Raw genomic sequence first — 25,234 nt, 5'->3', positions numbered from 1 at the left:
TTAGAGCTGGGGCTGTAACCCATGCTGCGCCCCTCAAGGGGGCGGCTTCGGAAGCTTGGCCATCTAGAGAAACACTCCCCAGCAATTACCCCCGACTCCTGGCTCTCCTGCCTTTCCACAGTCTGGGGGGCAGGGAGGGGACAGCGCTGCATCATTCCCTGTGGCACTCCGCTCTGGGGCCATTAACAGACGCCTTCCCATCGATCGGATCTGCTAAGTGCTGCTGATTCAGGCGAGTGGGGGTGGGGGCCCCTGGGGGCAGAGCGGGTAGGAGCTGGGCAGGAAGAGAGGGGAGTCCAGGAAGGAGGTGGAGAGAATTGGCGAAGTTCCCTGCCACCCCCATTTTCCAGATGACGCGACTGAGGCCCAACCAGCTTTGTAGGAGGCGGAGTCTCCCCAGGGTCCCTCTCTGGCTGTCCTAGGGGAGGGGGCTCAGGGAGCCACGAGGCCCCTCCCTGCCTCTCCATCTCCCGGCAAGCTCAGAGGGGCGGGGAGAGAGAGCCAGAGGAGGAGGAGAACTCAGGCAGCTCTGCAGAGGGGGCCAGGAGCTCGGGTGTTTGGTACCCCCAGCCCCACCGCTGTTGCTGCTCCTGCAGCGGGGACACAGGTGAGGACGCCCCGAGAGAGAGGGGGAGGGGGACCACCACTAGCGCTGTCCTCATCCTTCCCTGGTCCAGCCCCCACGCCCTAACCCATCCTGGGATAGTCCCCAGGGGTCCCACTGGACCTTGCCCTTCCCAGGCCTCCTTCCAGGGACCCCGCACCCTCCCCCTGCCTATGCCACCTTCTCTCCTATGCCTGGCTGTGGTTGCTTCTCTTCCTCCTGCTGCCGCTGCTGCTACTGCCACTGCCCAGTACACACCGCCAGCCCCTCGGGGTGTGGTTTCCCCAGACCTGCCCCCAACGGTGGGACCCAGCCTTCTCCCGGCGTCTCCTGCCAGCTTCCTGCAAAGCCCAGGAGCCCCCCTCCCTGGAGACACACCCAACTCCCTTTCAACACCCCACCCCCCTCTTAATCCCATTTTGGGGTTAACCCCCTTCCTCTTATTTAGTCTTCATAGATCCCCTGGGTGCTCTGGGATTGTGCCCAACTTCCTAACATTTGAGTCCCGGCCCTTGGAATTCCCCAGGCCCCTTTTTCCTCCCTGTAGAACTCCTGAGAGTGTCGACCAGGCTTTGTTGGCCCGTCTAGATACCCACCTCCCCCAGATAACTCTCAGCCTCTCAAAAAATAACCCAGCCCCCTGTCTACCCCTTTAGATAACCCCTTCCCCTCTCCAGCCCTACTAGGAGGCTCTGGCCTCTCCTTTCTTCCCCAGAACTCCTGTAGAGTATAGACACCCCCCCGGGCTATTCTTGGCAACTCTAGGCAGTCCCAAGACACCTTTCAGCCTCTTTACAACCTCCTGGATCCACAGCCACCCCTCAAGATGCACCAGCTCCCTTTCCAGATCCATGAGGGGGGTCTAACCCTCTTATGCTTCCCCTAGAAGTCTTGAGGGTGTGGACAACCCTCCTCACCTGTCTCAGCCCCTCTAGAACCCCCACTTCCAGGCACTCTCAGTCTCTTTCAAGCACCTCTGGTCCCATTTCTACCCCTCTGGATGCCCCAGTCTCCTCTCCACCACTGCAAAGGAATTCCAGGCTCTTCTGCCTTCCCTGAGACTCTTGAGAGTGCAGAGAATTCCCCACGTGTTTCTTGGCCCCTCTAGACGCCCCCAGACACCTCTCAGGCACAGGCTGACTCCTTTAGAATCATCTCAGTCTCTCTAAACCCTCCCTCAGCTCCTTCTTGGCCCCATCCCCACACCCCTTTTCTGCTCTTCTCCATGTCCCCAAGGCCCTTCTCAGTCCCTCAGAACATTGCCCAGGCCCCTCCTAGGTTCTGTAAATGTCCCCCAGACTCCTTCCCATCTCTTTAGTTCTTCCTCCTGGTTCCTCTTGGCCTCTCTAGACACCCCCAGTTTCCTTGTTTGGGTGGCTCAAGGTGTCTCCAAGCCCCCACCATCCTGGAGACAGCCACATTCTCCTAAACGCCACCCTCACTAAGTCTCCCTGGGCTTGGGGAGTGGCACGATGGCGGCAGGCCTGGCCACGTGGCTGCCTTTTGCTCGGGCAGCAGCAGTGGGCTGGCTGCCCCTGGCCCAGCAACCCCTGCCCCCGGCACCGGGGGTGAAGGCATCTCGAGGAGATGAGGTTCTGGTGGTGAACGTGAGCGGACGGCGCTTTGAGACTTGGAAGAATACGCTGGACCGCTACCCAGACACCTTGCTGGGCAGCTCGGAGAAGGAATTCTTCTACGATGCTGACTCAGGCGAGTACTTCTTCGATCGCGACCCTGACATGTTCCGCCATGTGCTGAACTTCTACCGAACGGGGCGGCTGCATTGCCCACGGCAGGAGTGCATCCAGGCCTTCGACGAAGAGCTGGCTTTCTACGGCCTGGTTCCCGAGCTAGTCGGTGACTGCTGCCTTGAAGAGTATCGGGACCGAAAGAAGGAGAATGCCGAGCGCCTGGCAGAGGATGAGGAGGCAGAGCAGGCCGGGGACGGCCCAGCCCTGCCAGCAGGCAGCTCCCTGCGGCAGCGGCTCTGGCGGGCCTTCGAGAATCCACACACGAGCACCGCAGCCCTCGTTTTCTACTATGTGACCGGCTTCTTCATCGCCGTGTCGGTCATCGCCAATGTGGTGGAGACCATCCCATGCCGCGGCTCTGCACGCAGGTCCTCAAGGGAGCAGCCCTGTGGCGAACGCTTCCCACAGGCCTTTTTCTGCATGGACACAGCCTGTGTACTCATATTCACAGGTGAATACCTCCTGCGGCTGTTTGCCGCCCCCAGCCGTTGCCGCTTCCTGCGGAGTGTCATGAGCCTCATCGACGTGGTGGCCATCCTGCCCTACTACATTGGGCTTTTGGTGCCCAAGAACGACGATGTCTCTGGCGCCTTTGTCACCCTGCGTGTGTTCCGGGTGTTTCGCATCTTCAAGTTCTCCAGGCACTCACAGGGCTTGAGGATTCTGGGCTACACACTCAAGAGCTGTGCCTCTGAGCTGGGCTTTCTCCTCTTTTCCCTAACCATGGCCATCATCATCTTTGCCACTGTCATGTTTTATGCTGAGAAGGGCACAAACAAGACCAACTTTACAAGCATCCCTGCGGCCTTCTGGTATACCATTGTCACCATGACCACGCTTGGGTGAGTGTGGACTCTGCGTTGGGGGCTGCCCGATTACACTCACCCTTTCTGTAAAATTAGGAAGTTTAAAGGAATGATCTCTTTCTTTCTTTCTTTTTAAATGGAGTCTTACTCTGTCGCCCAGGCTGGAGTACAGTGGCAAGATCTCAGCTCACTACAACCTCTGCTTCCTGGGTTCAAGTGATTCTCCAGCCTCAGACTCCCAAGTAGCTGGGATTACAGGTACACGCCACCATGCCCAGCTAATTTTTGTATTTTTAGTAGAGACGGGGTTTCACCGCGTTGGCCAGGCTGGTCTCAAACTCCTGACCTCAGGTGATCCGCCCGCCTTGGCCGCCCAAAGTGCCGGGATTACAGGTGTGAGCCACCGCGCCTGGCCTCTTTCTCTTTTTGAGCTTCAGTTTGCTCATCTGTACAAACTGAGGGAGCTGGACTTAATTCTTCAGATCCCTCCCAGCTCTGACAATGCCTTGATTTTCTAGGTCAGGAGACTTGGGTTCAAGGATTGTCTTAGCTGCTCTCTTTCTGTTGATGTCGTTTTCTCATGGCCTCAGTTTTCCCCTCTGTAAAATGGGAAATGCTGATCCCTTCATCATCTAGAGAGGATTCAATGACATCATAGTTGTGAAAGTTCTCTGAATGTTTCTGGTGCAGGATACATAGGTGTTGGCTTTCTAGCACCTTTTTCTGTTTTGGGGACCCATGTCTCCCAACCTTCTAGAATTGTCTGCTGTGTGGGGCACTACTTCTGAGCCTTTGTGATTCCTTGATGTTTCCCAGAACAAGATGTTTTCAGCATTTTTATTATTATTATTTTTTTGTCGATCCCTGCAGAAGAAACAGAGTTGGGATAAAAGTATCAAATGGAATCATCGAACTCATGAGCTTTCCAAAGATACTGTCTAGGGCAGATGCTGTGATCCTTCTCTAAGTTTCCATCACTGGGATTGGGTATACAGTTGGTGCTCAGTATCTGTTGAAGGAATGACTGAATGAATTGGGTTTGCTCAGTTTCTTCATAGAGGTACAAAAAAAAGTTGATTTGGGGTTTCTAAAGCGTAGAAACCCCAATTCTGGTTGGAGGTCCAGGATCAGACTGACAAACAAATACTGAGCGCTGACAGTGGGCTGGAACTGAGTATTTTGATGGCTTTTACTCTATTCAAGTCCTCACAACAACTCTGTGATGGTGGATGGCTGCCCATGTCTCACAGTTGAGGACACGCTCTGAGATGACACATCACAGAGCCAGCAATGGCCAAGTTGGAAAGACTTTTGAGCAGAGTCCTGAATGCTTAAAATGAGTGAAAATACCGAAATAAGGAACAGCCATCCTAGGGCACAGCCTGAGAAAAGGCTTAGAGGCTGAAGACTGCAGAGGCTGTGTTTCTCTGGAGGAGTTCTGATTGGTTCTGCGGTCAGAACAAGAGTATGCAGTGTGATCTTGGGCGAGTCAGTTACAGAATCTCCCTGATCTTCAGGGGAGCTCTCTGTGAACAAGTTAGTAAGGTTGGCTCTGCTCTGTCTCTGTGGGAGGTGGGTGGCATGGAGAAAGGCAGGAGGGTTTCAAGGCTCCTCCCTGTTTTGTCATATGTGGACAGTTTTCAAGGATTCCCCTATAGGGGAATGAAAAGGGGTCCTACCTAGAGCAGGTAAGACAGAGGCAGCCAAAACCAACAAAACACTCCTCCCGGGACTTGAAGCCCTTCGGCTGGCCTGTGGTGCTGGGACTCTCTCCCCAGGAGGCTGTGTTCACTGCCTGTGACTTCCTCATGCTCCCCTCTGCTTGGTTTTCATAGATTTCTAGCTGACTCAGGTGCTTGGTATGTAGCTTGGACAGGGGCAGCAGATGGTAGGGGTTGAGGGCCAGGCCCATTTCTCACTTGGCCACCCAGCATTTTACAGAGCAAGAAACTGAGGGACTCAGAAGGTTTGAGTGCCTGGCCAGGGTCACAGAGCTAGTCCGGATTAGATGGGATGGAGTGGGGGACTGAAAGGTAGGTGGGCACTTTTCCTGACCTTGGCCTACCTCCCCTCGCTCCAGCTACGGAGACATGGTGCCCAGCACCATTGCTGGCAAGATTTTCGGGTCCATCTGCTCACTCAGTGGCGTCTTGGTCATTGCCCTGCCTGTGCCAGTCATTGTGTCCAACTTTAGCCGCATCTACCACCAGAACCAGCGGGCTGACAAGCGCCGAGCACAGCAGGTAACCGCACTTTCCATCCGAGCACCTCCTACTCCCCACACCCCAAGCCAGTCTACTTTGGGGCTTACCCACCTGACCTTTTATCTCCTCTCTCTGCAGAAGGTGCGCTTGGCAAGGATCCGATTGGCAAAGAGTGGTACCACCAATGCCTTCCTGCAGTACAAGCAGAATGGGGGCCTTGAGGTGGGTCGGGGCCTGGATAGGGTTGGGGTGAGCCATAACGGGGAGGAAGGTGCTGCCCTTATCGCTCTGCTCCATCTACTCCAGGACAGCGGCAGTGGCGAGGAACAGGCTCTTTGTGTCAGGAACCGTTCTGCCTTTGAACAGCAACATCACCACTTGCTGCACTGTCTAGAGAAGACAACGGTGAGGCCTAATGTGAGGTGATATAGCAGAATAGAGGGGGTCCCTCTGCGGCCATGCCAGCTCTCTCCCTTGGATGGGAGGCTCACTACAAATTGTGGAAATCACACAGAGCTTCCTGGAAGAGGCTACAGGAGAGCCAAGCCTTGAAGAATGGGCAAGGGAAGGGAAGAGGGAACAATGTCCAGAAAGGAGAAAACAGCCTGAGCAAAGGCTTGAGGGTGGGATCAGCTCCCATGGGATGCCCCGTGACCCTGCCTCCCTTCTGCCCATAGTGCCATGAGTTCACAGATGAGCTCACCTTCAGTGAAGCCCTGGGAGCCGTCTCGCCGGGTGGCCGCACCAGCCGTAGCACCTCTGTGTCTTCCCAGCCAGTGGGACCCGGAAGCCTGCTGTCTTCTTGCTGCCCTCGCAGGGCCAAGCGCCGCGCCATCCGCCTTGCCAACTCCACTGCCTCAGTCAGCCGTGGCAGCATGCAGGAGCTGGACATGCTGGCAGGGCTGCGCAGGAGCCATGCCCCTCAGAGGTAAGCAGCCCTCCTACCTGCTAGCCACACCTGGGGAAGCTCAGAGCTTAGACCAGTAGCTCTGAGATTTCATAACTCCAGGCCTAGCAAGTCAAGCTCGAACCCAAACCCCTCCATGCTGGAAGCTTGGGCTTATCTTGTCTGGAACTCATTCTTCATCCATTCTTTTTTTTTTTTTTTTGAGACGGAGTCTCACTGTCACCCAGGCTGGAGTGCAATGGCGGGATCTCAGCTCGCTGCAGCCTCCACCTCCTGGGTTCAAGCGATTCTCCTGCCTCAGCCTCACAAGTAGCTGGTATTACAGGCACACACCACCACGCCCAGCTAATTGTTGTATTTTTAGTAGAGATGAGGTTTTGCCATGTTACCCAGGCTAGTCTCGAACTCCTGACCTCAAGTGATCCACCTGCCTCAGCCTCCCAGAGTGCTGGAATTACAGACATGAGCCACCTCGCCTGGCCTCTTCATCCATTCTTTCACCAAATATTTATTGAGCACCTACTGTGTGGCAGGCACAGTTGTAGGCAACTTGGATGTGGCAGTGAATGAACAGACAGAAGCCCCTGTATCCCAGTCCTCTGGAACTTCTATTCTAGTGGGATAAGACAGTTAATAAACAAATACACAGATTATATAGCATATCAACAGCTGTAAACACCAAGGAGAAAAGTCAGTCAGGGATGGGGGCTAGAAAGCATAGAGCAGGCCGGGCGCAGTGGCTCATGCCTATTATCCCACCACTTTGGGAGGCCAAGGCGAGTGGATAACAGGTCAGGAGTTCGAGACCAGCCTGACTAACATGGTGAAACCCTGTTTCTATTAAAAATATAAAAAACTAGCTGGGTGTGGTGGCGCGCACCTGTAATCCCAGCTACTTGGGAGACTGAGGCAGGAGAATTGCCTGAACCCGGGAGGTGGAGGTTCCAGTGAACTGAGATCACATCATTGCACTCCAGCTTGGGCAACAAGAGTGAAACGCTGTCTAAAAAAAAAAAAAAAAAGCATACAGCAGGGTGGTGATGCAGTTTTTTTTTTTTTTTAGACGGAGTCTTGTTGCTAGGCTGCAGTGCAGTGGCGCGATCTCGGCCCACTGCAACCTCCGCCTCCCGGGTTCAAGCGATTCTCCTGCCTCAGCCTCCCAAGTAGCTGGGACTACAGGCACGTGCCACCATACCCGGCTAATTTTTGTATTTTTAGTAGAGACGGGGTTTCACCATGTTGGCCAGGATGGTATCGATCTCCTGACCTCATGATCCACCTGCCTTGGCCTCCTAAAGTGCTGGGATTACAGGCGTGAGCCACCGCGCCTGGCTGCATTTTTTTTTTTTTTTTTTGAGACGAAGTTTTGCTCTTGTTGCCCAGGCTAGAGTGCAGTGGCGTGATCTCGGCTCACTGCTGCAACCTCTGCCTCCCGGGTTCAGACGATTCTCCTGCCTCAGCCTCCTAAGTGGCTGGGATTACAGGTGTCCGCCACCATACCCAGCTAGTTTTTTATATTTTTATTTTTTTATGTTTATTTTTATTTATTTATTTATTTTTGAGACAGAGTCCTGCTCTGTCGCCCAGACTGGAGTGCGGTGGCGCGATCTTGGCTCACTGGAACCTCCGCCTCCCGGGTTCAAGCAATTCTCTGCCTTAGCCTCCCAAGTAGCTGAGACTACAGGTGCGCGCCACCACGCCCAGCTAATTTTTGTATTTTTAGTAGAGACAGGGTTTCGCCATGTTGGCCAGGCTGGTCTCAATCTCTTGACCTTGTGATCTGCCCACTTTGACCTCCCAAAGTGCTGGGATTACAGGCATGAGCCACCACACCCAGCCAATTTTTTATATTTTTAGTAGAGATGGGGTTTTACCATGTTGGCCAGGCTGGCCTCAAACTCCTGACCTTCAGGTGGTCCACCTGCCTCGGCCTCCCAGAGTGCTGGGATTACAGGTGTGAGCCACCACTCTTGGCTGGTGATGCAGTTTTAGTAGTGTGGTCAGAGAAGGCTTTACTGAGGTGACAACTGAGCCAAGACCTGAAGGAGGCAAAGGAGTGGGCCATGCAGATAACTAGAGGAAGAGCTTTCTAAGCAGAGTGAACAGCCTGTGCAAAGGCCTTGAGGCAGATGTGGGTCCACATTAGAGACATAGCAAGGAAGCTATCATGGGTGGAGGAGAGTGAGCTGGGGGAGACTGGTAAGAGGCAAACTCAGAAAGGAGCGAGGGTCCCACCTTAGATCCTACTATGGACAGTTTGTAAGGACTTGGACACTGTTAGGAGTAACCATGAGAGATAGCATTTTCATATGTATGCACATTGTGTTCCAGACACTGCTCTGAGCACTTCGTATCATTTTTAATCTCATTTAATCTCCACAGCAACCCTATGAGGTGGGAGATAGTGTTCGTCCCATGCTACAGATGAGAGAAGAGAGAGGTTTGGAGTGGTTAAAGTGGGACCAGGATTTGAACCCAGGACTATCTGACTCTAGAGTCCTCACTCTTTACCACCATAATTGGGGATGCAGGAGAAGTACTTAAGTACTTAGCACAGTGCCAGGGACCCAGTAGGTGCTCAATAAATGCCATGATTGCTGTGGCAAGTATTAATTTTTTTTTTTTTTTTGAGACAGAGTCTCACTCTGTCACCCAGGCTGGAGTGCAGTGGTGCAATCTCAGCTCACTGCAAGCTCCGCCTCCTGGGTTCACGCCATTCTCCTGCCTCAGCTTCCTGAGTAGCTGGGACTACAGGTGCCTGCCACCACGCCTGGCTAATTTTTTGTATTTTTAGTAGAGATGGGGCTTTACCGCGTTAGCCAGGATGGTCTCAATCTCCTGATCTCGTGATCCGCCCGCCTCGGCCTCCCAAAGTGCTGGGATTACAGGCATGAGCCACAGCACCCGGCTGATAACTTTTTTTCTTTTTTTTTTTTTGTTGAGACAGAGTCTCATTCCGTCACCCAGGCTGGAGTGCAGTGGTGCAATCTCAGCTCACTGCAACCTCTGCCTGCCGGGTTCAAGCAATTCTCCCGCCTCAACCTCCCGAGTAGCTGGGATTACAGGCATGCGCCACCATGCCCAGCTAATTTTTTGTATTTAGTAGAGACGGGGTTTCATCATGTTGGTCAGGCTGGTCTCGAACTCTTGACCTCAGATGATCCACTCACCTCGGCCTCCCAAAGTGCTGGGATTACAGGCATGAGCCACCGCACCCGGCCTAAGATAACTTTTTAAGAGCCTTCCATCTTCTCCACCCTTGTCCACAGCCGTTCCAGCCTCAATGCCAAGCCCCATGACAGCCTTGACCTGAACTGCGACAGCCGGGACTTCGTGGCTGCCATTATCAGCATCCCTACCCCTCCTGCCAACACCCCAGATGAGAGCCAACCTTCCTCCCCTGGCGGCGGTGGCAGGGCCGGCAGCACCCTCAGGAACTCCAGCCTGGGTACCCCTTGCCTCTTCCCCGAGACTGTCAAGATCTCATCCCTGTGAGGGGTAGGCCTGCTGATTCAGAGGGTCCTCTTCATTTTTGGGAACTCCTTTCCAAAGCCATATTTTTGGGAGGCAGAGAGGGGCAGGCTTGGGCACCCCTTCTGCCCCCCCCACTGAGAACTATGCAATGGAGTTTCATGAAATGGTCCACATAGTGGGGAAGTAGCCAGGAAATGAGAAACTTCCTCCCACCCCAGACATTTTTCCTGGTGGGAGCTGAAGCACTGGGCTTCCACAGGCCCCTGGCCTCCTTGCCCTAGCACACTGGGACTGGCCCCACTCTCCCAGCTGGACTCCTGCATGCTCCTCCCCTTGGGCTCTCAGATGAAGGCAAAGCTTTGATCCGACATCTGAGCTCTAGCCTAAGAAGGAGAGTTGAGATTTCCTCCTCCCTCTGGCTGGGATATGGAGCTTTGGAGGTTCAGAGAAGAGAACCCTCACCTCTGATCTGGCCTCTACGAGAGGTCCTCATCTCCATCTGGCCCAACAATTCCCAGATTCTGAAGCTTGGAATGCAAACACAGGCTTCATGGGCTGTGGCCTCTGCAGCGACCTGCCATCCCCAGGCCTTGCCTGAGGGGTCAGGCTGCCTCTCCCAACACACACTCAGATAGCACAAATTCTACCATCCCCTTCCCTGGCTGCTGGAAATGGACCCCGCAACCCTGTCCTCTGCTGGGCCCCCAGCAAACTCTAGCAATAGCAGCTGCTGCCGTGTCATTATGCAAAGCCTCTGACCAGTTTGCTGCAGCATTTACATCTGCCCTAATCAGAGGGGCCACCTCTAACTCCTCCTCCTCCTCTCTTCTCCTCTGGTTTGCGTCCTTCCTGGGTTGGGCTGGAGTCTGGACTGGCTGAGATAAGAGCCTGGCAACCAGCAAGAGCTGGGCTGTATTTGGAGATCATGGGCTGATTCCATGTTCTTGGGCAACAGTCCAGAAGCATCAGGGGCTCCGGCCTGGGATGTTTCTGAACTTTGGGAGTTATAGGAGACAGGAGGAACTTCTCCTCCTCCTCCTCCCCTACAATTCCTTTTCACATATTCCTTTCTTCTCCCTCTTGGGTGACCTTCCAAAACTCTGCTCTCAGGCTGAAATCTGGCATCATCTCAGGTTCCCTGTCCCCAGCACTGTCCCCATGGAGCTGGTGGCTGACAAAGATGTAGTTTCCATCAGTCAATAAAACCTGAGAGGAGAGATGAGGACTGAGAGTATCTCCTGGCTCTGTGGGTTTGGGGGCTGGGTTGGGCTTGGGGGTTGAAAACACTCTGATTTCAATCCCTTTTGGCTAGGAGAAGGGCTGGTATGGGTCAAGGTATGGGAGATGGATGGTTGGTGATGTATTCTGGAAGATGGGGATCCAGGAGAAATGAAAGAGTGTGGTTTGAGGAGTTCATCTACAGCCAGTGAGACAGGCCAGGGGGTCCTGAGACATTCCTCCTTGGATATCATCTGCGCCAGCTTCCTGATTCACAGATCGGGAAACTGAGACCCAGAGAAACACATAGTTAGTTAGAGGAGGCTTAAACCCAGGCTTCCTGACAGCAAACAACCCTGAATTTAACCCTAATAAAAGCATCACTTTGTTTGGTGAATTTCCCTTCCTTGTGGACGCCCCCTACATTCTCTCTTCTGGGCTACTGGCTACACTAGGCTAGTGTGTGGCTGAGTTCTATAGAGCACTGAGCAGACAGACCATGGATTCAGGTTGATCTGGGTTCCAATCCCTGGGTGAGAGAATCACTTACCTTCTCTTGCCTCAGGTTGCTAGTCTGTGAAATAGGGATAATTCATTTAGTCACCAAATATTTATTAACTTCCATCATGTGCCAGCCCTAGGGATACAAAGGTGGGCAAAGTAGACATTGTCTCTGATGTATAGTTGAGCATGGAAGGCAGACAAGTAATTACAACATGGTGTGGCAGAACTAAGATCCATGTGTTATAGAGGCATGCAGATGGCAGGAGAACTTAACCTGGCCAACACACAGGGAATGAGTTGGAGTTAGCCAGGCAGCAAATGAAAGGATGCAATGTTCTGGGCAGAGGGAACAGCATGTGCAATGACCTGGAGGTTGGAGAGTGAGCTCAGGCCTTTGGGGAACTGAAAGTAGTTCAGTCCAGCTGGGGAGGAGAGTGTGAGGCTGTGAGGAGAGGAAGGATGGAGAGGTAGGCTAGATAATAAAAAGCTTTGAAGCTATGACGCGAATTTTAAACTTCATCCTAAAGATAGTGGGGACCTCTAAAGACTTAAACAGAAAACTCATGATGAAGTTTGTGTTTCAGAATGATCATTCTGGCTGTGGAGAGTGGATATAGAGAAACAGTCCTGGAAGGAAGAAAAGTAGGGTGGAGGCTTTTATAATAGTCCAGGTGGTAGGGGACAGTGGCTTGGACCAGAGTAGTGGCAGTAGAATTGGAGAGTCTAGAGATTTGGGAGGCAGAATTGGCAGGACTTGGGATTGACAGGCATGTGGGAGTTGAGGAAGAGGGAGCAGTCAAAGTTGACTCCCAGTTTCTGGCTTGGACGACGGCTGGATGGGAGTGCTATTCCCTGGTAAAGGGAACATCAGAGCTGTCAGCACTCAGTGCTAGGTACATAGTAAGTACTTGGTGAAGGGTAGCCATGATTGCTATCATGAGTTCAGTTTTAGATGTGTAGTGAGTGAAATATATGGGGCTGGAGTGAGATGATCATGAGAAGATTCAATGTGATAATGTGCATAGGCATTTGGCACAGAGCCCTGAACACAACAGGCCCGGTAAACGTGAAAGTCCCCTCCTATTAAGTCTCATGAGCAGAAAACACTACTTAGAGCCCATTTATTACTTACACCTTTCAGGGAAGAATTTCAACTAGGGTTAGTATCTCAAGGGAGGCAAGGCTATACTCAAAACAGCTTTCCCATGGTCTCTTTCAGTCAACCTGTTGTATGGTTTGTCTCCTAAGACTGGAAGTGAACTCCAAATACCTTCTTGGTTCATCAGCTCATCTGAACCCCATAACCATTCCCTGAGGTAGTCTGGGCAGGTATTATCATTCCTGTTTTACACATGGGTAATCTCAAAAGTGACACAATGACTTGCTCAAGGTCATACAGTTGGTAATGGTCCATCTGTGCCTGGAACTGAGGTCTTTCTGGCTCCAAAGCCTGGGATCCTTCCACTGCACCACCATGCAGACTACTTTATTGAACACTTCCTATGTGCTGGGCACAGCACCAGGCCCTTCACAAGCATTAATCTCTGATCCTCGGATTAGAATTATTGCCAATTTATAGAATAGAAATTAAGGATGGGTGCTCACTTCGCACCACATATACTAAAATTAGAACGATACAGAGATTAGCATGGCACTATGCGAAAGGATGACACGCAAATACGTGAAGCGTTCTATAAAAAAGTAAACAACAACAACAAAAATTGAGGACGGGGTGGGTTTTAAATGACTGACAAAGATCACTCAGACAGGAAGGGCAGAGCTAGGATTAGCGTGTAGCTCTCCAGCTACTCAATAGCAGGGATTCTGCCAACCCCATTTTGAGACGCTGACTGGTGACAGAGCTTTCATAAACCTCGATCGACCCAAGCAAACTCAGTTTTAGAAAAAGGCTGGGCTTGGCCAGGCGCGGTGACTAACGCCTGTAATCCCAGCACTCTGGGAAGCCGAGGCGGGAGGATCGCTTGAGCCCGGGAGCTGGAGATCAGCCTGGGCAACATAGTGAGACTTTGTCCCTACAAAAAAGTGAAAAAAAAATTAGCCGGTCGTAGTGGTGCGCGCCTGTGGTCCCAGCTATTCGGGAGGCTGAGGCGGGAGGATCGCTTGAACCTGGGAGTTGGAGTTTGCAGTGAGCTATGATCGCGCCACTGCATTCCAACCTGGGCGACAGAGTGAGACCCCTGTCTCAATTAGGAAAAAAAAAAAAAAAAAAAAAAAAAAAGGCTGGGCCGCGCCTGCGCACTAGCCATAGGGGCGGGGAGGTCAACGCGAGGCCGAGAGTGCTGTGGTGCCAGAGAAGGCGTGTCTGTTTCCCAAACAACCACTGTCCCCACGGCGCCTGTCTGTCCCAAGGTTGGTCGGTATGCCGCGAGTGACGGCGTCTCTTAACCAATCACCGCAGAACTCAGGCTGTTGCCGGGGCGAAGCGGTGTCCGCCTCCCCCGGAAGGGTATTTGTAGGTGGGTGGGACCGGAAGTGACGCTACAGGGGCCAGCTATGCTCCCGGGAGTGTTGATGTTTTCCAGTCATTCCGGCTGACAGCGTTCAAGTTGGAATCCTGGAGGGGAGGTGTTTTTCCTGTCGTACGTGGGACAGGCCACGCTGTCCGTCCGCAGTACCGACGCCTGCAGGTCAGAGCTTCGGGGAGAAAAGTGAAGAGCAAGACGGAACTGACGGGGAGAAAGGCTGGGAACCAGGGTGTCGACTTTGACTGAAATTTGAGACGGAGGGCACCGGAGGGCGAGCACTCGCCTGTGATTGGCCCGTGGGCGTCGTCGAGGTCCCACGCAGCTGCTCAATTGGTTGGTGTTGCAATTGTTGTGGCGGCGGCGGCGGCGATTTTGCCCACGTACTTCCGAGTAAGGGGCGGGGCTGTGCCCTGGCGCGCGTGCGCAGCGCCCCGGGGCCCCACCCGGTAGTGCAAGAACCTGCGAGGGGGCGGAGCGAAGAGGTGCTTGTTTTGGTTCTGTTTCCTTTGAAGCAGAAGGCCGGAACAAGCGTAGCAATAAACTTGCTGGACTTGGAGAGAAGGCTAAGACAAACTCGCCGCACTGCCTTCATCTTGGACTTTACATCCGGGTTCTCCTCTCGGCGTGACCCGCGCGCCGCCACCGCCGCCGCCGCCGCCGCCGCCTCCTCCGCCGCCGAGGGTTCTCGAACCGGTGCCGCGATCCCTTTATCCGGGTCTCGCCGTTCCCGTCGTGCCTCGCGCACTACACTAGCCCCCTCATCCGGGTTCTCTCCCGGCGTGCCCCGCGCCGGGTTTGTTGGGGGGTACTCGGCAGTGCAGCCATGACTATACTCCCCAAAAAGAAGCCGCCGCCTCCCGACGCCGACCCCGCCAACGAGCCGCCGCCGCCCGGGCCGATGCCCCCGGCGCCGCGGCGCGGCGGAGGTGTGGGCGTGGGCGGCGGCGGCACGGGCGTGGGCGGCGGCGATCGCGACCGTGACTCCGGCGTCGTGGGGGCCCGTCCGCGAGCTTCGCCACCGCCTCAAGGCCCGCTACCAGGACCGCCGGGCGCTCTTCATCGCTGGGCGCTGGCCGTGCCGCCTGGTGCAGTGGCGGGTCCCCGGCCACAACAGGCTTCTCCACCTCCTTGCGGGGGCCCAGGTGGTCCCGGCGGCGGTCCCGGCGACGCGCTGGGCGCAGCGGCGGCGGGTGTGGGTGCCGCGGGCGTGGTGGTGGGTGTGGGTGGTGCCGTAGGCGTGGGCGGCTGCTGCTCCGGGCCTGGGCACAGCAAGCGGCGACGTCAAGCTCCCGGGGTTGGCGCGGTTGGCGGGGGCAGTCCCGAGCGTGAGGAGGTCGGCGCAGGCTACAACAGTGAGGACGAGTATGAGGCGGCTGCAGCACGCATCGAGGCTATGGACCCTGCCACTGTCGAGCAGGTAAGAGCTGTGGGGTGAGGGGTGAGCGGCCACGGCAGATGGGACCCCCAGACTGTGAAGGGACTCAAGGAAGGCTGTTTGAGATCGCCCCAAGGGATCTAGGCGTTTTCACTGGGCCTGACAGTCTTCTCTGGCGGTAGGGATGTGAGACACCTTCTTTCCTCCCCTCCAGGATTTTGGGGCTAGAGGCCTACGGTAAGGTGTCAGACTTAAAGATCCGAGGTCTCTTTTAAGGTCTATAGTCGTCATTCCAGTCCCTGGGACCTCATCATATAGGGCCAATAGGTGGGAATTCTCCAAGAGATACAGGTAGGATCGCGCCCCTCTTGAGTAGGAGTCTCAGGTCTCCCAAGAGACTTAGGTATGTGTTCAGTGGCTTAAGAGCTCTTTTCCTCTGGGATAGAAGTTTGAGATTCCCCTTCCAGGAAAGTCAAATAAGGTGGAGACCTCGGAGATCGGGGCTGAACATCCCCAAGGAGCCTAAGCCCTTTCAAGAGTCTGAGACACTCTGCATATAGGACAATCCTCTCCCGCTTCGCTGGGTAACACTGCACAGGACCACTGAATAGCCAGACCTGAGACCTCAAGGGTCCTAAGTCTGTCTTCAGGGGCCTGAGAGTCCTGCTTCTAGAATCAAGGTCCTGACACACACACACACACACACGCCCCCTTTAAGGATAGGGATCTTCTAAGCTTTTTCCAGGGATGTAAGACTTTTCACAGGGAGATATGATTCCCTTGCCCTTGGGGACAGGGACCAAAACCAACACCCAATGACCAGCAGCTTTACTTATCTCCTTTCTGAGTGACAAAGGTCTGCATTTCCTATCAGTGGCCTGAGACCTACCTCTTGGGAGACAAGGGCCTGAACCGCTTCAGGATCTTAAGCTTCTTGTAAGAAGAGATGGGCCCTCAGCACCCCCACCAGGGGCCTGAACCTTTCTTCAGGAAAATGAGACTCACAGCGTTGGATCCTAGGGCCTAAGATCCACCTGCTTATGGACTGAGGTTTTTAGAGACCGAGTCTGAGGCCTCTTCAGGGGCCTGGTGTCCTGCTGCAAAGGTCTCAGACAAGGTGAAGTCTTTAGGAGATCCTTCTTCTCAAGGCTGGTGTCTGAGTGGTTTTGGGGATCTGAGACTCCCCACCCCACGAGCATATGTGACCCTTTTACCCCAATTATAAGGAACTGAAACATACCTTGGGGATACAGTATCCCATTTTCCCCTCTGTAACAGGGGTTTGAGGCCCTCCCACCTTGGGCCTAAGCTTTTTGTCAGGGACATACGACCCATGCCTTGGGAACTTGAGCCTGAGACGACTACTCAGGGGACATGGGCAACATGGGATCCCAGAGATGATGTCTGGGGCCTCCCTACAGATCTTTGCCTACTTTTAAGGGCCTGAGACCCACTCTGCCAAGGACACTTGAGCTTTCCTTCAGGGACAGGAGACTCATACATACCTTGGTGACTTGTGTGTCTAGAGGTAAGGTCTGAGCTTCCTCCTCAAGGAACTTAAGATGTACACCTGAGAAACAGGAGGACTCCTCCCCCCAGACCTGAGCCCTGAGACTCTTCCCTTGGGGCATGGATAAAGGATCCCTGTGGAACAGGGTCCTGAGTCTACCTCCAAGGGTTTGAATCATAACTCAGGTGTGTGAAGGCCTGTTCCCCACCTTAGGACCTGATTTCTGAACCTGCCCTGAGGGTACTGTCACCTCACCTCAGACAACTTACATACACCCTAGTCTTAGGGGTCATTTAGGGACATAAGACTTCCTGCCTCGGGGACTTGGGCCTTAGACTCCCAACTCCTTTTGGGGACATGAATAGGGTAGGATTCTGAGGAAAAGAGTCTGGGCCCAAGCTTTCTCTCTGGGACAAGATACCGTTTGCCTTAGGGACTGGGGGCCTGGCTCCCACTTGGGCATGAGGCTCTCCTCCTACCACACCAGGCAATCCTTTCTGTCCAGGGAGAGGAACGTGAGGTCATCCTCTCCCATTGGACAGAAGGACCTGGATGCTCTTCAGGGTCATATGAACCCCTTATCCAGAGCTCCCTCGTGGCCAGGGCCAAGAAGGTCCTCCTACTTTCTATGAGAAGATTGTCAGGTCCTGGGGACATGGAGTCTGGAGCCTCCCTTCTGAAACCAAGAGCGATTCCGAGTCTCTCCCTGACCTAGCTATGCTTGCTTCTCACCTCTAGGTCATATAATAAGTTTTGAACTGCTTTTGACAAGCTTTTTTCTTCCCAGGGACAGGAAAGGGGTTTGGGACATCGCCACTCTGGGGAAATTCTCCTCCCACATTCCTTTTCCCCTTGGCTCAGGTAAATCTTTCTGTACTTCACAGGGGCCCCAAGCCTTGTCTTGAGCTCCTTGTTCTTGGTCCCTTCCTCCCATCATTAATTCTGGCACGATAAGCCATTTGTACTCAAGGGTCAGGACCAGTTATTTCTTCTCTCTCTGGTTGGGTAGTTTCTTTCCTCCTCTAGAAGCAGGGAGCCATACATCACTGGTCCTAGGGACAGAGGAAAAACATCCTATGCAGCCATGATAATTCAAAAACACCTCCTTACTCCCCTCCCTTGCGATACATCCCTGGTCCCAGGGACAGAGAGAAAGAACATCCTATGCTGCCATGGTAACTCAAAAACACTTCCTTATGCCCCTTGCAGTCCCTCCCTTATACTTGTCCCCATAAGAACATAAGAGTAAGCCGGGCATAGTGGCGCATGCCTGTAGTCCCAGCTACTCGGGAGGCTGAGGCGGGAGGATCACTTGAGCCCTGGAGTTCAAGACCTGCTTGGCAACATAGCGAGACCTCATCTTTACTAATAAAAAAAAAAGAATATGAAAATCAAGTTTTGTGGGTTCATGAAACCTGCCCTTCCCAATGACAGGAGAGGCTTTCTGTCCCCACACTTCTTAGGACAAAGAAGGTGATCCTCTTCTCCCTGCCTCACCTGGTCCAACTTGAGAGCTTTTGGGGATGAGAAGAGGGAAGATTCCTCCTGCCACCCCAGTCTTGGTCCTAAACTGTCACTAGGGGTGGTTGTAGCCTGGAGGTCAGTTGGATCCCTTGGGAAGAGAGGCGTCGTTGAGGGGGAGTCTAGATGGCGATTCTGGGGTTCTGACTACTTGGGCTTCCTCTTTGTCCTGATTCTCTTGTATCCCTACTTCCTTTAGGAGTCTTTTTGGCACTCTGGGGTCCAGGTGCTGGGTGGGTGGTGATGTCAGGGGTTCCCAGGCATGGCTGCCTTGCTGAGAGTCTGCTCTATGAAAAGGTTGGCCTGTAAGCATCCTGAGTTTGGAGACCCCACAGAGCTCTTTGAGAAGGGGCATGTGAACTGAGGTGGTGGAAAAAGCTGGGTGTGGCACGGTAGTTGGTGCCTGGGTTCCAACTCTGGGTCTTTCAAGGCTTTGCTGGATGAACCAGGGTAGGTTCTACCTATGCTCTCTGGGCCTCAGTTTCCTCACTGGCCAGGCAAAATGCTGGTGAGGTGTTGTTTAGCTTTGGGATTTTAGGGAACTCAGTCCAAAGTTCTCTGGACCTGGAGGTGGCAAAGAATGGTGGATGTCTTTTGAGGAGGAACTGGGTTTCTCCCCTCTCTTCCTGGCTCCTCTGTTCCCTCTCAGCCATCCAAGCTTGGTGGGCAGGACAAGCAGCCTGTTTTGTGTGAGGCTCAGGGTTGATGAACAGCCATTTTTTGTGGGCAGCCATGTTGTAATGAACAAGCTCGATGGGATTTCCTGTCAGGAGGCCTGTTGGATAGTGGTGTAGAGAGGTAGAGTTGTGTGTGGAGTTTGGGCTTTGGAGCAAGGCAAGCTTTGAGCCATCATCCCTCAATTCTCTCATCACCTCCAGACCTCAGCATCTCCTCCTTACCTGCTTTATAGCTTTAGGCAAACTACTTGCCCCCTCAGCTGCCCATTTTGCAAAAGTTTGTCCATGCCCAGGTGTGTCTGACCTTGCACACCTTGGACCTTGGCCGGTTCTTCCTCTTGCCCAGAATGGGCAGTTTGCCCCAGGGTCATCTTGGTTCTTCCTAGGAGCCTTTGTCCACTCCTAGTAACCTATCTTTGATAGCAAAGGCCCTTCATTTGGCATCTAGGAACCTGCTGATTTCTTGGGCTCTTCTTACCCCAACTGGAATTGGGTAGCTAGCTGGTGGGGAAGCAGGAAGGGGTCTCTGCCCAGGCAACGTGGATTTGAGTCCTGTTTCTGCAGTAAGCTTTTCTGTGGTCTTCAGGCAGTTCTCTTTTCTGGTTCTTGGTTTCTCCCTCCATGAAATGGGTAGTGTTGAGGAGGGAGGTTGGACTCATTGCTCTGAAGCAAGTTATAGTCTCCTCCCTGCTCCCACTCCCCTCACCCTTCATGAAAGTTTTAAGTGGGACCCCTTGGCCTTTGGGGATTGTGCTAGGACATTTCAAGCAGTGTTCAGCGTCCTTGGCTGGTGCTGAGCCCTTGGGTGTGTTTCTTTTAACAACTTTAATGAGATGTAATTCATGTACCATACTATTCACCTCTTTGAAGTGTACAGTTCAGTGGCTTTTAGTATATTCACAGATTTGTGCGTCCATCACATCACTACAGTCCATTTTAGAACATTTTCATCACCTTAAAGAGAAATCCAGCACTCTTTAGCTATGATCCCCCAATTTCCTCATCCCTTTCCAGCCTCTGGCAACCACTAATCTACTTTCTGGCTTGATTGATTTGTCTGTTCTGGATGTTTCATGTAAATGGAATAATAGAATATGCAGTTGTTTGTTACTTGGCTTTTTTCACTTAGCATAATATGTTCAAGGCTTATCCATGTTGTAGCATACATCAGTGCTTCATTCCTTTCTATTACTGAATAACAGGACCTTGGGTTTTTTTGTTTTTTGGTTTTTGTTTTTGTTTTTGTTTTTTTTTTAAGGTGGAGTCTTGCTCTGCTGCCCAGGCTGGAGTGCAGTGGCGCAATCTCAGGTCGCTGCAACCTCCGGCTTCCGGGTTCAAGTGATTCTCCTGCCTCAGCCTCCCAAGTAGCTGGGGCTACAGGCATCTGCCACCACACCCGGCTAATTTTTGTATATTTAGTAGAGATGGGGTTTCACCATGTTGGCAAAGCTGGTCTCCTGAACTCCTGACCTCAGGTGATCTGCCTGCCTTGGCCTCCCAAAGTGCTGGGATTACAGGTGTGAGTCACCGCACCCTGCCAATCTTAGAGGTTTTTAATCCCCCTGCCCTCAGTGGCCTAGCCAAATGTTGGGGCCTTGCTCTTCTCCCCTTCTGCCCTGGAGGGCTTGTGTTGGTCCTTAGAGAGTAGTGTGTCTATGTTCCTCGTTGGATGGGTTGCCTGTGTGTGTTTTTTTTTGAGATGGAGTCTCACTCTGTCCCCCAGGCTGGAGTGTAGTGGCGCGATCTTGGCTCACTGCAACCTCCACCTCCCAGGTTCACACCATTCTCCTGCCTCAGCCTCCCGAGTAGCTGGAACTACAGGTGCCTGCCACCTCGTCTGGCTAATATTTTTGTATTTTTAGTAGAGACAGGGATTCACTGTGTTAGCCAGGATGATCTCGATCTCCTGACTTCGTGATCCGCCCACCTCGGCCTCCCAAAGTGCTGGGATTACAGGCGTGAGCCACCACGCCTGGCCCCCTGTGTTTTGTCCATGGAGCCAGGCTAGTGTTCCTGGGTGCTTTGCTGGAGGGGGTGGTCTTGGCACCAGGGCTGCTGGGACAGAGCTGTGAGTCACAGAATGCTAAACACCTTTTGACCATAGGCTCTGGGAAGACATCTGTCCATGAACTGCCACTGCTGCTGCCATCTTTTGCCCCCCCACCCCACCCCCACTTCAGTGGCAGCTCATCCATCCATAGGCAGGGTCAGTAGTTTCCCAGGGTGAGAAGGGAGATTCCAGGCCCCTGCTGCCTTAATTCTAACCTCCCACCCTGGAGGATGGTAGGCAGGTGGACCTTGCAGAGCGGGATCCATGCCATATTGTCTCACACCTGTGAGGCACTAGGGAACAGACACCAAGGAGTGCTACCAAGGGGGGTGTGTTAGTTTCCTGTGGCTGTTGTGACAAATGTTACCACAGACTGGGTGGTTTAAAACAACAGAAGTTGGCCGGGTGCGGTGGCTCACCCCTGTAATCCCAGCACTTTGGGAGGCCGAGGCGGGTGGATCACGAGGTCAGGAGTTCAAGACCAGCCTGGCCAAGATAGTAAAACCCCATCTCTACTAAAAATATAAAAATTAGCTGGGTGTGGTGGTGGGTGCCTGTAATCCCAGCTACTCGGGAGGCTGAGGCAGAGAATTGCTTGAACCCAGGAGACGGATTGGAGGTTGCAGTGAGGTGGGGGTTGCAGTAAGCTGAGATTGCGCCACTGCACTCCAGCCTGGGTGACAGAGCGAGACTCCATCTCAAAAAAAAAAAAAAAAAAAAAAAGAGAGAGAGAAGTTTATTCTGTCACAATTCTGGAGGCCAGAAGTCCACAATCAGTTTCACTGCATCCAAATCAAAGTGTTGGCAGGGCCACACTCCTTCTGGAAGCTCTCAGGGAGAATTTAGACCTTCTCTAGCCTCTCGTGGCTGCCAACATTCCTTGGTTTATGACTGCATCATTCTAATCTCTGCCTCCATCTTCACCATCGCCTTCTCTGTATATGTGGTTTCCTTTTCTGTCTGTATCAAATTTCCCTCTGTCTCTCTTTTATAAGGACACTTGTGATTGCATTTAGGTCCTACCTGATACTCTAAGATAACCCCCCATCTCCAGATTTAATAATGTAAGTTAATTACATCTGCAAACACTTTTTTTCTTTTCTCTTCTCTTTTTTTTTTTTTTTTTGAGGTGGAATCTCACTCTGTCACCCAGGCGCAGTCTCGGCTCACCGCAACCTCCGCCTCCTGGGTTCAAGCTATTCTCCTGCCTCACCCTCCTGAGTAGCTGGGATTGCAGGCGCCCACCACCACACCTGGCTAATTTTTGTATTTTTAGTAGAGATGGGGTTTTGCCATGTTGGCCAGGCTGGTTTCAAACTCCTGACCTTAGTTGATCCACCCGCCTCGGCCTCCCAAAGTGCTGGGATTACAGGCATGAGCCACTGTGCCCGGGCTTTTCTTTTCTTTTCAGACAGTGCTGGCCTCTGTCACCCAGGCTGGAGTGCAGTGGCGTAATCTTGGCTCACTGCACCCTCCACTTCCTGGACTCAAGTGATCCTCCAGCCTCAGCCTCCTGAGTAGCTGGGACCACAGGTGCGAGCCACCATGCCCGGTTAATTTTTGGTGTTTATTTATTTGTTTTTGAGATGGAGTCTCGCTGTGTCACCCAGGCTGGAGTGCAGTGGTGCTATCTCGGCTCACTGCAACCTTCGCCTCCCAGGTTCCAGCGATTCTCCTGCCTCAGCCTCCTGAGTAGTTGGGATTACAGGCGCCTGCTACCATGACCAGCTAATTTTTGTATTTTTAGTAGAGATAGGGTTTCACCATGTTGGCCAGGCTGGTCTCGAACTCCTGACCTCAGGTGATCCACCCGCCTCGGCCTCCCAGAGTGCCGCGATTACAGGCGTGAATCACCGTACCTGGCCTGTATTTTTTGTAGAGATGAGATTTCACCATGTTGCCCAGGCTAGTCTTGAACTCTTGAGCTCAAAGCGATCTGCCTGCCTTAGCCTCCCAAAGTGCTGGGATTGCAGGCATGAGCCACGACGCCTGGCCCTACCTTTTTCATTATAAGGTAACATTTACAAGTTCCAGGGGGGTTAGGGTTTGATATCTTTGCGTGGCTATTAATCAGCCTACTAGAGAGGCTTTTTTCCCTCCTGGGGAAGGGAAGGGAACTCATTAAGTGGTCTCTTACTGGGCAAAGCCCTGTAATATTTGAGTCTGCCCAGCATCCCTATTATTGGGAGGCTTGGTATCCCCATTCACAGATTGGAAAACTGTGGCTCAGAGCAGTTCATCATCACATGGCTAATAATTGGTGGAGCTAGATTGGAACCTAAGTCAGTTGGGTTCCACAGCCTGCTCCAACTTCACTTGGGCCCTTAGACCACTAGGTTACAGAATCTTGCCTCAGCTCCTGGGATCCTCTGGTGTTAGGGAGCTTTACTCAGCCTTTTTGTGGAGGCTCAAAGATATGGAGGGATTTTCCCATAGGCTCAGCGATGAGTTTGCAAGGTTCACAATCTCCTCAGGCCAGGGCATTGTTGGAGCTTAAACTTATCTATGGCTGAGCTATCCCCTACCCCCCACCCCTACTAGCCCTTCCTGAGCAACATTTTCTCCCCAAAAGGAGAAAGAGAAGGGCCAGAGCCCAAACTCCTCAGGCTGCTGATGACAAAGCCAGTGGGTGGCTAGCAGTCCAGCCTCTAGATCCAAGCCTGGATGCCAGTTTGACTGCCCCAGGACCCAAACCCTGCAGTGCGAGGGGCCTATTCAGGTCTCTTTCATGTTTAGAGACAAACCAGGATATTCTGTGGATGGGCTGCAAGGTATGTCCTCCATGCTGTGGCTCGTGGGGGCCTTCCCTGTTGCCTCTACACTAGGCTTTGCTGGTATCCAAACTCCAGCTCCTTTCTCTTTCTGCCTTTGTTTTTTTGTTTTTTGTTTTGTTTTTGTTTTTGTTTTTGAGACATAGTCTTGCTCTGTTGCCCAGGCTGGCTGGGGTGCAATGGTGCCATCTCGGCTCACTGCAACCTCCACCTCCCGAGTTCAAGCGATTCTCCTGTCTCAGCCTCCCAAGTAACTGGGATTACAGGCACACGCCACCACGCCCTGCTAATTTTTTGTATTTTCAGTAGAGACAAGGCTTCGCCATGTCGGCCAGGCTGGTCTTAAACTCCTAACCTCAGATGATCCTTCCGCCTTGGCCTCCCAAAGTGCTGGGATTACAGGCGTGAGCCACCGTGTCTGGCCTCCTTTCTGCCTTTGTAAAGTGAGGGTAATGTTTCCTGCCACCTGGGCTGTGGTCAGGAAAATTAAACGAGGTCACCCTTTGCATCTGGCATGGGGCAGGTATTCAGTTAATATGAGTTCATCTTTCTTCCTGGTCCTCCCTGCTTACCTGCCTAGTACTACCCAGAACTTTAGCTCTACTGAATTCATTGCTGGGCTCCAGGCATTCCTGGTACTTCGTGGCAGAAGTGACTTCATTTCTCATCCAGTTAACAAGCATTTTTGGAGGTCTTGGTGTTTTAATCCTTTGGTCAGGTGGCACCTCCTCTCAGGTGCTAGCCTTAATGACTGTGTTTCTTTTTTTCTTTTTTTTTTTTTTCCTTGAGACAGAGTTTTGCTCTTATTGCCCAGGCTGGAGTGCAATGGTGCGATCTTGGCTCACCACAACCTCCGCCTCCCGGGTTCAAGCGATTCTCCTGCCTCAGCCTCCCGAGTAGCTGGGATTACAGGCATGCACCACCACACCTGGCTAATTTTGTATTTTTCAGTAGAGACGGGGTTTCTCCATGTTGGTCAGGCTGGTCTCAAACTCCCGACCTCAGGTGATCCGCCCACCTCAGCCTCCCAAAGTTCTGGGATTACAGGTGTGAACCACCGTGCCTGGCCCAATGACTGTGTTTCTTTTCTTTTCTTCTTTTTTTTGAGACAGAGTCTCACTCTGTCGCCTAGGCTAGAATACAGTGGTATGATCCCGGCTCACTGCAACTTCTGTCTCCCAGGTTCAAGCGATTCTTCTCCCTCAGCCTCCTGATTTAGCTGGGATTACAGGCATGCACCACCATGCCCAGTTAATTTTTTTTTGTATTTTTTAGTAGAAACAAGGTTTTACCATGTTGGCCAGGCTGGTCTTGAACTCTTGATCTCAAGTGATCCACCTGCCTCGGCCTCCCAAAGTGCTGGGATTACAGGCGAG

At 52.8% G+C, this 25,234-nt stretch overlaps 2 protein-coding genes and 1 pseudogene across 15 annotated transcripts in view, besides 7 other annotated features; all 3 read left to right on the top strand.

Moving 5' to 3' along the window:
- KCND1 (potassium voltage-gated channel subfamily D member 1) lies at positions 504 to 10,968 on the top strand. Its single transcript, NM_004979.6, has 6 exons — positions 504 to 3,197; positions 5,242 to 5,404; positions 5,504 to 5,587; positions 5,672 to 5,770; positions 6,043 to 6,293; positions 9,542 to 10,968. Exons 1-6 carry the CDS (start codon positions 2,077 to 2,079, stop codon positions 9,765 to 9,767), a joined length of 1,944 nt encoding a protein of 647 aa, NP_004970.3. The 5' UTR covers positions 504 to 2,076; the 3' UTR covers positions 9,768 to 10,968.
- Positions 10,368 to 10,517: an enhancer, noted in NCBI's record as "active region_29626". NCBI's record gives its function as "activates an Ori minimal core promoter by ATAC-STARR-seq in GM12878 lymphoblastoid cells {active_cell/tissue: GM12878}" and the evidence as "EXISTENCE:reporter gene assay evidence [ECO:0000049][PMID:35858748]".
- Positions 10,368 to 10,760: a biological region, named in NCBI's record as "Sharpr-MPRA regulatory region 12141".
- Positions 10,466 to 10,760: a silencer, noted in NCBI's record as "tiled region #12141; HepG2 Repressive non-DNase unmatched - State 4:PromP". NCBI's record gives its function as "represses a minimal TATA promoter and a strong SV40 promoter by Sharpr-MPRA in HepG2 cells {active_cell/tissue: HepG2}" and the evidence as "EXISTENCE:reporter gene assay evidence [ECO:0000049][PMID:27701403]".
- Positions 13,066 to 13,169, top strand: RNU6-722P (RNA, U6 small nuclear 722, pseudogene; annotated as a pseudogene).
- Positions 13,967 to 25,234, top strand: part of OTUD5 (OTU deubiquitinase 5) — a 36,358-nt gene continuing 25,090 nt past the window's right edge. For 8 of the 14 annotated variants that reach the window (NM_001136158.2, NM_001136157.2, XM_017029628.3 and 5 more), the window contains exon 1: positions 14,741 to 15,371. In NM_001136158.2, the coding sequence (NP_001129630.1) occupies positions 14,778 to 15,371 (594 nt within the window). In that variant the 5' untranslated portion in view covers positions 14,741 to 14,777. Of the gene's footprint in view, positions 14,117 to 14,740; positions 15,372 to 17,648; positions 17,701 to 25,234 lie in introns of those variants that run through there. The other 6 variants (XM_024452397.2, NM_001136159.2, XM_017029630.2 and 3 more) reach the window with 2 other exon arrangements.
- Positions 13,995 to 14,184: an enhancer, noted in NCBI's record as "active region_29625". NCBI's record gives its function as "activates an Ori minimal core promoter by ATAC-STARR-seq in GM12878 lymphoblastoid cells {active_cell/tissue: GM12878}" and the evidence as "EXISTENCE:reporter gene assay evidence [ECO:0000049][PMID:35858748]".
- Positions 14,285 to 14,444: a silencer, noted in NCBI's record as "silent region_20830". NCBI's record gives its function as "represses an Ori minimal core promoter by ATAC-STARR-seq in GM12878 lymphoblastoid cells {active_cell/tissue: GM12878}" and the evidence as "EXISTENCE:reporter gene assay evidence [ECO:0000049][PMID:35858748]".
- Positions 14,645 to 14,694: a silencer, noted in NCBI's record as "silent region_20829". NCBI's record gives its function as "represses an Ori minimal core promoter by ATAC-STARR-seq in GM12878 lymphoblastoid cells {active_cell/tissue: GM12878}" and the evidence as "EXISTENCE:reporter gene assay evidence [ECO:0000049][PMID:35858748]".
- Positions 15,065 to 15,124: a silencer, noted in NCBI's record as "silent region_20828". NCBI's record gives its function as "represses an Ori minimal core promoter by ATAC-STARR-seq in GM12878 lymphoblastoid cells {active_cell/tissue: GM12878}" and the evidence as "EXISTENCE:reporter gene assay evidence [ECO:0000049][PMID:35858748]".

Source organism: Homo sapiens, chromosome X (assembly GCF_000001405.40).
Source record: "Homo sapiens chromosome X, GRCh38.p14 Primary Assembly".
In the NCBI taxonomy this organism is placed as follows: domain Eukaryota; kingdom Metazoa; phylum Chordata; class Mammalia; order Primates; family Hominidae; genus Homo; species Homo sapiens.
Note: the sequence above shows the minus strand (reverse complement) of the source record. Positions and strands in the feature narration are given on the sequence as shown.

Excerpts from the sequence above, each read along its gene's own strand:
- KCND1 (NM_004979.6), top strand. The coding sequence starts at position 2,077 with ATGGCGGCAGGCCTGGCCACGTGGCTGCCTTTTGCTCGGGCAGCAGCA. Across the intron at positions 5,588-5,671 it reads AGCAGAATGGGGGCCTTGAG|GACAGCGGCAGTGGCGAGGA; the intron begins GTGGGTCGGGGC and ends CATCTACTCCAG. Across the intron at positions 6,294-9,541 it reads AGGAGCCATGCCCCTCAGAG|CCGTTCCAGCCTCAATGCCA; the intron begins GTAAGCAGCCCT and ends CCTTGTCCACAG.